The sequence below is a fragment of the Homo sapiens genome, chromosome 22 (genome assembly GCF_000001405.40).
Source record: "Homo sapiens chromosome 22, GRCh38.p14 Primary Assembly".
NCBI classification, from domain to species: Eukaryota; Metazoa; Chordata; class Mammalia; order Primates; family Hominidae; genus Homo; species Homo sapiens.
Genome location: NC_000022.11, coordinates 30,321,949 through 30,331,987, shown reverse-complemented (window position 1 = coordinate 30,331,987; position 10,039 = coordinate 30,321,949). Strand labels below are relative to the sequence as shown.

Below are 10,039 nucleotides of genomic sequence, written 5' to 3'. Positions count from 1 at the left end.
GAGTTATGATCATTAACTCTACCAGATATGGAGATTTGCTGTTAACTATTCTGTATTGTTACATTTTTTTAATTCTGCATTGTTGCCAGGTGTAGTGGCTCACACCTGTAATCCCAGCACTTTGGGAGGCCGAGGCGGGCGGATCACCTGAGGTCGCGAGTTCAAGACCAGCCTGACCAACATGGAGAAACCCTGTCTCTACTAAAAATACAAAATTAGCCGGGCATGGTGGCACATGCCTGTAATCCCAGCTACTTGGGAGGCTGAGGCAGGAGGATCGCTTGAACCCAGGAGGTGGAGGTTGTGGTGAGCTGAGATAGCACCATTGCACTCCAGCCTGGGCAACAAGATTGAAACTCTGTCTAAAAAAAAAAAAAAAGGCTGCATTGTTATATAAAAGAACACTGCCTGGTGAGTTCCCTGACACCATGCCCTGACACTGCTCCCAGCATGTAAGTGAACAATTCTAGGTACCCCTGGACACTACAGTCCATGAAGCAGGACAAGATAAACTCCTGCCAGGCACAGTGACACACCTGTAGTTCCAGCTGCTTGGGAGGTTGAGGTAAGAGGATTGCTTGAGCCAGGAAGTTCAAAGTCAGCTTAGACAACATAGTGAGAACTCATCTCTAAAAAAGTTTTTTTAAATTAAAATTAAAATAGATCATTACAGAGAATACTGTTATAACAGGTGGCAGGTGCCTGTAATCCCAGCTACTTGGGAGGCTGAGGCAGGAGAATCTCTTGAACCCGGGAGGTGGAGGTTGCAGTGAGCCAGGATCACACCACTGCACTCCAGCCTGGGCAACAGAGCAAGACTCCGTCTCAAAAAAAAAAAAAAAAAAAAAAAGGGCATCTGGACTTTTGCTCATGGCCAGTGCTCACAGGTTTCCTGAGCACATGCCAACTGCACATTCCAGGATCCAGGAGAGGGGCCTATGTGAGATCCTCAAGCCCAGCTGTTGGGAATGACCCCAGCAGGATGAGACTCTGGGATATCAACACATTCTATCTTCAAAAGAATGTCTCCAACAGCCAGTTCACCAGGATGTTCCACAGCATTGCCTAAGGCCTCTTAAATTCTTTATTCCAGTGAACCACGTGATTCTGCAGGGCTCCTTTCTGATCATTTATTCATTGGTTCACTGTTGCCCTTGCTTTCTCACTCCAATCTAACAACACAGCCTCCTTCTCCTTCAAGGGGAAAATCATCTGCTGCCATGCTTGTACACTATTCTCAGTCCTGCAGAAGGGGTCCCTCATTTTCAGCCCATACCACCTCCCCAACACCTACTCCAGCATTCTCCATACCTTACCTGGCTTTATTTTCTTATTCTCACTACCTGATAGATGTTCTGTGCTTGTTCATGTTGTCCCTCCTCCACTGGACTATAAACTCTATTGGGCCAGGACTTCATCTCTCTTATTCACTAGAGCAAGCTCGTCCAACCCATGGCCCAGGAGAGCTTTGAATGTGGCCCAACACAAATTTGTAAACTTTCTCTTTTTTTTTTTTAGACAGAGTCTTGCTCTTTCGCCCAGGCTGGAGTGCAGTGGCGCCATCTCGGCTCACTGCAAGCTCCACCTCCCGGGTTCACGCCATTCTCCTGCCTCAGCCTCCCGAGTAGCTGGGACTACAGGCTCCTGCCACCACGCCCGGCTAATTTTTTGTATTTTTAGTAGAGACGGGGTTTCACCGTGTTAGCCAGGATGGTCTCGATCTCCTGACCTCATGATCCGCCCTCCTCGGCCTCCCAAAGTGCTGGGATTATAGGCATGAGCCGCGCCCGGCCCCAAATTTGTAAACTTCCTTAAAACATTATGAGATTTTTTTTTGCAATGTTTTTTAACTCATCAGCTATATCGTTAGTGTATTTTATGTATGGCCTAAGACAATTCTTCTTCCGGTGTGGCCCAGGGAAGCCGAAAGGTTGGACACCCCTGCACTAATGTCTGGCTCATTATAGGTGTATTAAATAAAGAACTCTGGAGTTTGGCCAGGCATGGAGGCTCACGCCTGTAATCCCAACAATTTGGGAGGCCAAGGCGGGAAGATCACTTGAGCCCAGGAGTTCAAGACCATCCTAGGCCACATAGTAAGACCTAATCTCTACAAAAAAATACAAAAGTTAGCAATTTCACACAAGGACACCCAGTTGTTGAGGGGCACAGCCACGAAGTGAAGTCTCCCAAGCCACGTGCCATAGGTTAAATTGGGCAAACTCCCCCGCTGCAGCCACAGGCTGTGATGGGGAACACTCAAGACAATAATGAATTTGCAATTCCTTTTGCAAGCTTCAAATGCCACCACTCCTGGCCATTATTTATTTATTTATTTATTTATTTATTTTGAGATGGAGTCTTGTCTGTCACCCAGGCTGGAGTGGTGTGATCTCTGCTCACTGCAACCTCTGCCTCCCAGGTTCCAGCGATTCTCCTGCCTCAGCCTCCTGAGTAGCTGTGATTACAGGCGCCTGCCACCACGCCCAGCTAATTTTTGAATTTTTAATAGAGACGGGGTTTCACCACGTTGGCCAGGCTGGTCTCGAACTCCTGATCTCAAGTGATCCACCCACCTCAGCCTCTCAAAGTGCTGGGATTACAGGCATGAGCCACCGCGCCCAGCTCCTGGCCATTATTTACTGGGCTTCTCCATGTGCCAGGTGTTTAGCGCATACTGTCACACTAAAGTCTCAGCACAATTCTTCCAAGGAAGAATTTTTTCAGAATTTCCAATTTATAGATGAGGAAATGGGCTCAGAGAGAAGTAATTTGCTCAAGGTCACAGAGCATAAATTCAAATCCTGGTGGTTTGATTAAAGAAAATTAGAAGCTGAAGCATCACTGGAGTAACATCTATACAGTCTCCTAAAGATGAACACTCAGGGTCTCTAATCTACCCCCTCCCCAAATATCCCTGGGGTGAACGTCTCTATATTTGTGCCCTCACAGAGCTGAGTAAGAACATGTTTGGGATATAACCCTAGGGATAGAATCATGAAGTCAAAGGGTCGTGGATACTTTTCTTTGCTGTACTTGAGGCTTCACATCTGCCCCAGGTATGTCTGGCTCCTCCCCCTCCCTTTCCTGGGATAGGCCCATACCACCATGAAAGACCCATACCGCCCCTCCTGGGAGCTGGGACCAGGAGCCCACCACTGTCTGGAGTCACTGAAGAGAAGGAACATCCTCCTAGACTGAGGGTTTAAGACCAAAATAGCCTGTGCCCACTCCCATGTCTGTTCTTGCCTTGTTTATGGAAAGCCAGAAGCTCATGGAATGTGAGGATTGTACAATGACGCCATCAAGAATGTCCAGGCCACATGGCATCAAGGTGAAATCACTCAAGGCTCAAGACCCCCTCTTGGGGCTTGCCTTGGGGCCCTGAATAGTCTGTCCCAGGCCCTGCAGCCAGGTCTGAGTCTTCCAGTCCCTTCCCCTCTCTAGGCCTGTCTCTCCCACAGGTCTGCAGGGAGTGTCAGATGACAATATACTGTGACTTGTAAACCATAAAGTACTAGACATAAGCGAGGAGCTATCATTATATTATAGATCCAAGAGTTGACAATCTCTAGGGTCAGAAATCAGCTGCTTGGGGCTAAGCCCATATAGATAAAATCGGCCCATCCCTCCAAATATAGGCAGTTGGTAAGAGCTAAGTTCGAATCCTGGCTATATTCACAGCTAATTCTGGGACCTTAGGCAACTGACTTTACCTCAGTCTCCTTAACTGTAAAATGGGACTAATAATGGTGTATACCTCATTGCTAAGAGATTACAAGACATGTTGCAACCAATTTGGAAAACAGTTTGCCAGTTCCTCGAAAGGTTAAACAGTTGCCATATGACCCAGCAATTCCACTCTTCCTTATCTATCCAAGAGAAATGTAAACATAAGGCCCCCACACAAAAGCTTGTACCTGAATGGTCAGAGCAGCATTATTCATAATGGCTAAAAACTAGAAACACGCGAATGACCATCACTGATGAATGGAAAAACAAAATCTGGTATAGTCCCAGCTCCCAGGAGGGGCAGTATAGGTCTTTCATGGCGGTGTGGGCCTATCCCAGGAAAGGGAGGGGTGGAGTCAGACATACCTGGGGCAGATGTGAATCCAGAAGCACTGATACATGCTACAATGTGGATGAAACTTGAAAATGTTCAAGAGAAAGAATCCAGACATAAAAGGCCATATATTGTATAATTCCATTTATATGAAATATCCAGAAAAGGGACATCTATAGAAACAGGAAGCAGATTAGTGGTTGCCAGGGACTGGGGGAGCCAGGATGCGGAGTGACTGCTAATTGGTAGGAGTTTCTTTTTGGGGTGATGAAAATGTTCTAAAATTAGAATGTTGTGATGGCTGCACAACTCTGTAAATATGCTAAAAATCATTGTACACTTTAAACGTGAATTTATGGTATGTTTATGTTCCATAAAACTGCTGGGGAAAAGACTACAGGAGAAAGTAGGTAGAGCTTCGGGCGTGCGTGGCTCAGTAAACGCTGGTGATTATTAATAATTAGGTCTCACGAGGTAATTTAAAGCCCCAGAAGCAGTGAGTGCAATGGGACTGCCAGACTTCTGGCTCAGGCTGGGCCTTTAAGCCGCTCTGCGTCCCTGAACTCACTTGGGCCTCCTCAGAGTTCCTCATAAATGAATGGGGCAAACAATCCCTACCACGTCCTTGGGGTCTCGCAGGGAGCGGGGCTCAGGAGGCAGATGAGGAATCCATGGAGGAAGCCCTGGGCCTCCGGCTCGCGCTCTGCAGTAGGTGACAGGCCCCGCTTGGAGCCAACCCGGAAAGGCCCGAGCTCGTCCAGGTGAGTTCTTGTGATTGGCAGCCCGGAGGAGGGCGGGGAGGGCTGCGGTGACGGCTGCCCCGCCCCCTCACTTCGGGCTTGTTGGCGCCCGCCGGGGGAGGGTGGGCGGGGCCCGGGGTCCGCGGCGCCCATTGGGCGTGGGGGGAGAGCTCCGGGGTGGGCCTGGAGCCCCGCCCCCCGGCCTTGCGGCGGCCAATAGGCGCCGCGCGTGGGCGGGGCGTCGGCGGCAGCAGGGCGGCTGAGGTGGCCGCTGGAGCTCAGGCGGCGGGCGCGGCTGGGATGGCGAAGAGCAACGGAGAGAATGGGCCGCGCGCGCCCGCGGCCGGGGAAAGCCTGTCGGGAACCCGGGAGAGCCTGGCCCAGGGCCCCGACGCCGCAACCACCGACGAACTCAGCTCTCTCGGGTCTGACTCGGAGGCCAACGGCTTCGCCGAGCGCCGCATCGACAAGTTCGGCTTCATCGTGGGCTCGCAGGGCGCCGAGGGCGCGTGAGTAGCGCCGGGGGTCGGGACTGAGCGCGCCACCCACGCGAGGGGCCTCGACACGGACGGAGGCGCCCTCGGGACTTGCCGACACGTCCCCCTCCCAGGCAGGGACCACTAATCCCCGTTCCCTCCCCTGCCCCACCCCCACCACCCCTGCCTTCCTAGACCCGCCCCCTTCGCAGTCCTACTTCCGACCCAGGGGGCGGACGGGCCCACACCTCCACCCGCCACCTCCACCCTCCGGACAGACTGACCCGCTCCCAGGAAGGACCGACTGTGCCCTCCTTCCAGCCGTGGAACAGAATGACAGACTGCCCCAAACCCACCCCTGCCGCCAAGACCTTAGGGATGATTGTTTCTGCCACCCCGACAGGCTCCCAGATGGCTGGCGCCCCCCTCCATAGACACTCATTCTCCATCTTTCCCCCTCCCACAAACCCACAGACGCCCTTGTCTCCCCGCCTCACTGCCCCCACACCAGGAGACCTCAGACCGACTTCAGGACTGACTGCCCCGCCCCCACCCCTTCCCAGGACAGACTGACCCTTTCCTCGAGGCATACAGACCTCTGGATGGACAGACATTGGTCACCTCCCTCCCCTCAGCTCCATCCTGGGACAGACAGTCCCTTCTCCTCATGGAAGGGTCGGAGAAGGGCCCCCTATCCGCTCATACACAGCTTCCTCCACTGGCACTGGCAACAGGTGGGCAGGTACTCCCCCTTCCCAGCACGTACAGGGCGACAGGGAGCCCCACCACTAGGACAGACCATCAGCTCCAGCAGCCACAGGAGCCAGTAGATGGGCTCTGTGTATGTCCTGTGTATGTATGCGCCTCCTCCCAAGGGCAGATCTTGGGCGTGGGACGGGGGCAGGCAGGGAGACAGCAGGGTCCCTGCTCATATTAGCACCCCCCGATGTCCTATCCCGAGAGCACCCAGACACCCAGCTAGCAGACAGAGAAATGTGGGGCAGTGGAACAGCACCTTGCCTCCAAGCTGGGCCCCATGTTGCCCCACAGAATCCCCCGAGCCCAGGCCTCAGAGATCATGTGTACAGGCTGGCGGTCCCCTTAGGAAAGATGGACTCCATACCCCACTCCCATCCCAGCTGTCCTGTCACGTGAGACCAGTGTTGTGCACAGAACTGACAAGACTCCCTCCTGATGTGTGCTTTCCATCCCAATCACCAGTAGGAGCTCCTGGGGCCCTGCCATGACCCTACTCCAGAGAATATCCTTTCTCCCTTTCTCTGACCAATTGAGATTGTCCAAGGTCACCCCAGACTCTCTCATGACTTATGGAAGCGCTTTAACTGTCTAAGAACCCCTGTCACTTCCGGGATTTTCCCCAGCCCTAAAGCCTCTTATTCACCAGGCCTCCTTCTTCCTTGGAGAAATCCAGGCCCCTCCCCTAAGGGGAGTTCCCTCTCACCCACTGGATCTGTCTCCTCCAGTATCTCCCTACTGGCTCACAGCAGGCTAGGTTTAGTCCAGGACTCAGAGAGAGCACCCCTCATTCTGAACCCTCACCCTGACTGATGCTTTGTCACAGTTCCCCAGGGATTCACTTGTGAGAACTTAGTGGGGACCTGGAGTGTTTTGAATTGAGGAGCAGTCACCTGGGATTAGGACCCAGGGAGGTGTGTGGTCTTGAGATCTAGGAAAGGAGTTCCCAGTTGCATTTATGGGACCTTGGAAGGAAGAGCTCAGATTTGTGGGAGAATGCTAGGGCATGAGAGTTCCTACTACATGCTTATCAGGCAATCAACCAGATCTTGGGGTGCAGAGCAATGTGATATATTAGGAAAAGGCCAAACTTAGGAATTACACTTGCTAGCTTTGTGACCTTGGGCAAGATCCTGAATCTCTGAGCCTGTTTACTCACTGTAAAGGGCGACAGTAACACCCACTTCCCAACATTACTCTGGGGGTTAAATGAGTATATGATACGTGAAGGTGCCTGGCACAGCGCTTGTCACAAGTAGCGGCCCAGAAAATGTTAGTTTTCTTTCTTTCCTTCTAAGGGTCTGAGAAATGAAGAGAAAAATGAGGGCATATCTCTGGTATTTGTGGGCAGAGTGAGGCCCCAGTGGAAGCACCTCCCTTTGGCTGTAGTCCCCAACCAGGCAGCCAGACATCTGTCTTTCTTACCCCACAACCACAAACCCGGGATGTGGCTCTGCAGACACCCTCTACATGGCTGCTGTCTGTAGGGCTGGGGCTGAGGTGGGATCCCAGCTCCAGTCCTCTCTCCTTCCCTCACTTTCTGGAGCCTGTCAGTCAACCTAAAATCTCTGGTATCTGAAAGCTTCGATGTTCCCTACTTAATTTATATTGTGGTTTCAAAAAAGCCAAGAGTAAGTCCCTGCCCAAGGCCATAGAGGGGAAGTTATGGAAAGCTTCAGGGTGACCGCCCTGAACCCAGTCTCGTGGTTGAAGGCTAGGAGTCCATGTTCTATGCTAGAGAAGTGAAACGTTAGCCCTCATGGGTACTGTGGAGATGGTGGGGACTCTGACTCCAGATTAAAGGTCCATTTCAGCTACCCTGGGCCAAAGGTTGTCTTAAGACATTTTGGATGTGGAAGTTGCCAGGCCTGGGGGTAAGAAAGCAGGTCACAGGCTACCTTACTGAGGTGACTATTAGCTACATGGCATGAGTAGATTAAAAAAACCATAGACTGCACTGTAAGGGATCTTTTTTTTTTGAGACGGAGTCTCGCTCTGTCACCCAGGCTGGAGTGCAGTGGCGCAGTCTCAACTCACTGCAACATCTGCCTCCCGGGTTCAAGTGATTCTCCTGTCTCAGCCTCCTGAGTAGCTGGGAGGCAGAGATTGCACCCATCACCACACCTGGCTAATTTTTCATATTTTTAGTAGAGATGGAGTTTCACCATGTTGGCCAGGCTGGTCTTGAACTCCTGACCTCAGGCGATCCACCTGCCTCAGCCTCCCGAAGTGCTGGGTTTACAGGCATGAGCCACCATGCCTGGCCTGTAAGGGATCTTAATAGATTGACCAGCTCAGCCCTTACTTACATAGATGAGGAAACTGAGGCCCAGAGAGAAGAGTAACTTTCTTAAGATCACAGCATATTAGTGGCAGAACTAGGACTTGGACTTAGGGTTTCTGACTCCCAGGTCAGTACAGTTTCCACTGCCTTCACCATCCATAAATATGGCCTTTCGTCCCTGCAGGATATCAGGTGTCAGACAGGTAGAACAGAAGTGTCTTAGCAGTCACCTGCCTGCTCTTACCTTCCCTGACTTAGCTCAGCACTTTCGACTCTCTCAGCAGTATATGAGGCTAATAGAAGTGGCCCAGAAGGATAAGAATATGTTGTCATTACCAGTTCATTAGACTGATTAGCTTCAGGACTGGGAAGAGGCTCATTCACCTTTTTCTCCTCAGGCCTGCGGTGGAGTAATTAATACTTATTTGCGGGGAGACATTTCAAGTCAGGAAGCTGAAAGTGGCAGGGCATGGTGGCTCACGCCTATAATCCCAGCACTTTGGGAGGCTGAGGCAGGTGGATTCCTTGAGTTCAGGAATTCGAGACCAGCCTGGGCAACATGGTGAAACTCCATCTCTACAAGAAAATACAAAAAATTAGCTGGGCATTGTGGTGGGCACCTGTAATCCCAGCTACTTGGGAGGCTGAGAGGTGGGAGGATCTCTTGAGCCCAGGAGGTGGAGGTTGCAGTAAGCCAAGATGGTGCCACTGTGCTCCACCCAGCTCTTTCTTGAGACAGAACATGACCCTGTCTCAAAAAAAAAAAAAAAAGACTAGGTGCTGTGCCTCACGCCTGTAATTCCAGCACTTTGGGAGGCTGAGGCAGGCGATCGCTTGAGCCCAGGAGTTCAAGACCAGCCTGGCCAACATGGTGAAACCCCATCTCTACAAAAAATACAAAAATTAGTTGGGTGTGGTGTCATGCACCTATAGTCCTAGCCACTTGGGAGGCTGAGGTAGGAAGACTGCTTGAGCCCAGGGAGGTGGAGGTTACCGTGAGCTGAAATCACGCCACTACACTCCAGCCTGGGAGACCTTGCCTAAAAAAAAAAAAAAAAAAAAAAAAAAAAAAGCTGAAAGTGACCTTAGAGATGGCCATCAGCATACAGATGGATAAACTGGAGGCCTGTGAGAAACCTGGAATTCCTGATTCCCAGTCCTAGGCCTTTCCATTTCTTCACCTTGTCTGTCTTTTGAGCCTACTCCGCAGGGAACCTTTAGTGAGACTGAGATGGTCCCTGTCTGTTTTTGAGTAGTAGCCACAGACAAGAAAGCAGCTTGCCAGTAAATGATCCTGTGGGTGGCATAGGCATAGATCAGAGTGCCGACAGCATTAGTTCTTCTGGCTTGGCTGGAGACCGAGTGGGGCATTGAAGCCCAGGAAGGGCCGGGTGCAGTGGTTCACCGCCGTAATCCCAGCACTTTAGGAGGCCGAGGTGGGCAGATCATTTGAGGTCAGGAGTTTGAGACCAGCCTGGCCAACATGGTGAAACCCCGTCTCTACTAAAAATACAAAAATTAGCCAGGCGGTAGTGGCTCACGCCCATAATCCCAGCTGCTCAGGAGGCTGAGACAGGAGAATCGCTTGAGCTTGGGAGGCGGAGGTTGTAATGAGTTGAGGTCATGCCACTGTACTCCAGTCTGGGTGAGACAGACCGTGTCTCAAAGAAAAAAAAAAAAAAAAAGGCCCAGGACCAGTTGAGGAAAAAGATGTTTT

General features: G+C 51.4%; 1 protein-coding gene across 2 annotated transcripts in view, besides 3 other annotated features; it reads left to right on the top strand.

Annotated features, from left to right (window-relative positions):
- Window positions 4,795-5,124: a silencer, noted in NCBI's record as "silent region_13608". NCBI's record gives its function as "represses an Ori minimal core promoter by ATAC-STARR-seq in GM12878 lymphoblastoid cells {active_cell/tissue: GM12878}" and the evidence as "EXISTENCE:reporter gene assay evidence [ECO:0000049][PMID:35858748]".
- TBC1D10A (TBC1 domain family member 10A) overlaps window positions 5,047-10,039 on the top strand; it is a 34,952-nt gene continuing 29,959 nt past the window's right edge. For both annotated transcript variants that reach the window (NM_031937.3, NM_001204240.2), the window contains exon 1: window positions 5,047-5,315. In NM_031937.3, the coding sequence (NP_114143.1) occupies window positions 5,107-5,315 (209 nt within the window). In that variant the 5' untranslated portion in view covers window positions 5,047-5,106. The remainder of the gene's footprint in view (window positions 5,316-10,039) is intronic.
- Window positions 5,425-5,474: a silencer, noted in NCBI's record as "silent region_13607". NCBI's record gives its function as "represses an Ori minimal core promoter by ATAC-STARR-seq in GM12878 lymphoblastoid cells {active_cell/tissue: GM12878}" and the evidence as "EXISTENCE:reporter gene assay evidence [ECO:0000049][PMID:35858748]".
- Window positions 5,691-6,640: an enhancer, noted in NCBI's record as "H3K27ac-H3K4me1 hESC enhancer chr22:30721337-30722286 (GRCh37/hg19 assembly coordinates)". NCBI's record gives its function as "activates a minimal SCP1, AML or CMV promoter by ChIP-STARR-seq in primed H9 embryonic stem cells {active_cell/tissue: H9 hESC(primed)}" and the evidence as "EXISTENCE:reporter gene assay evidence [ECO:0000049][PMID:30033119]".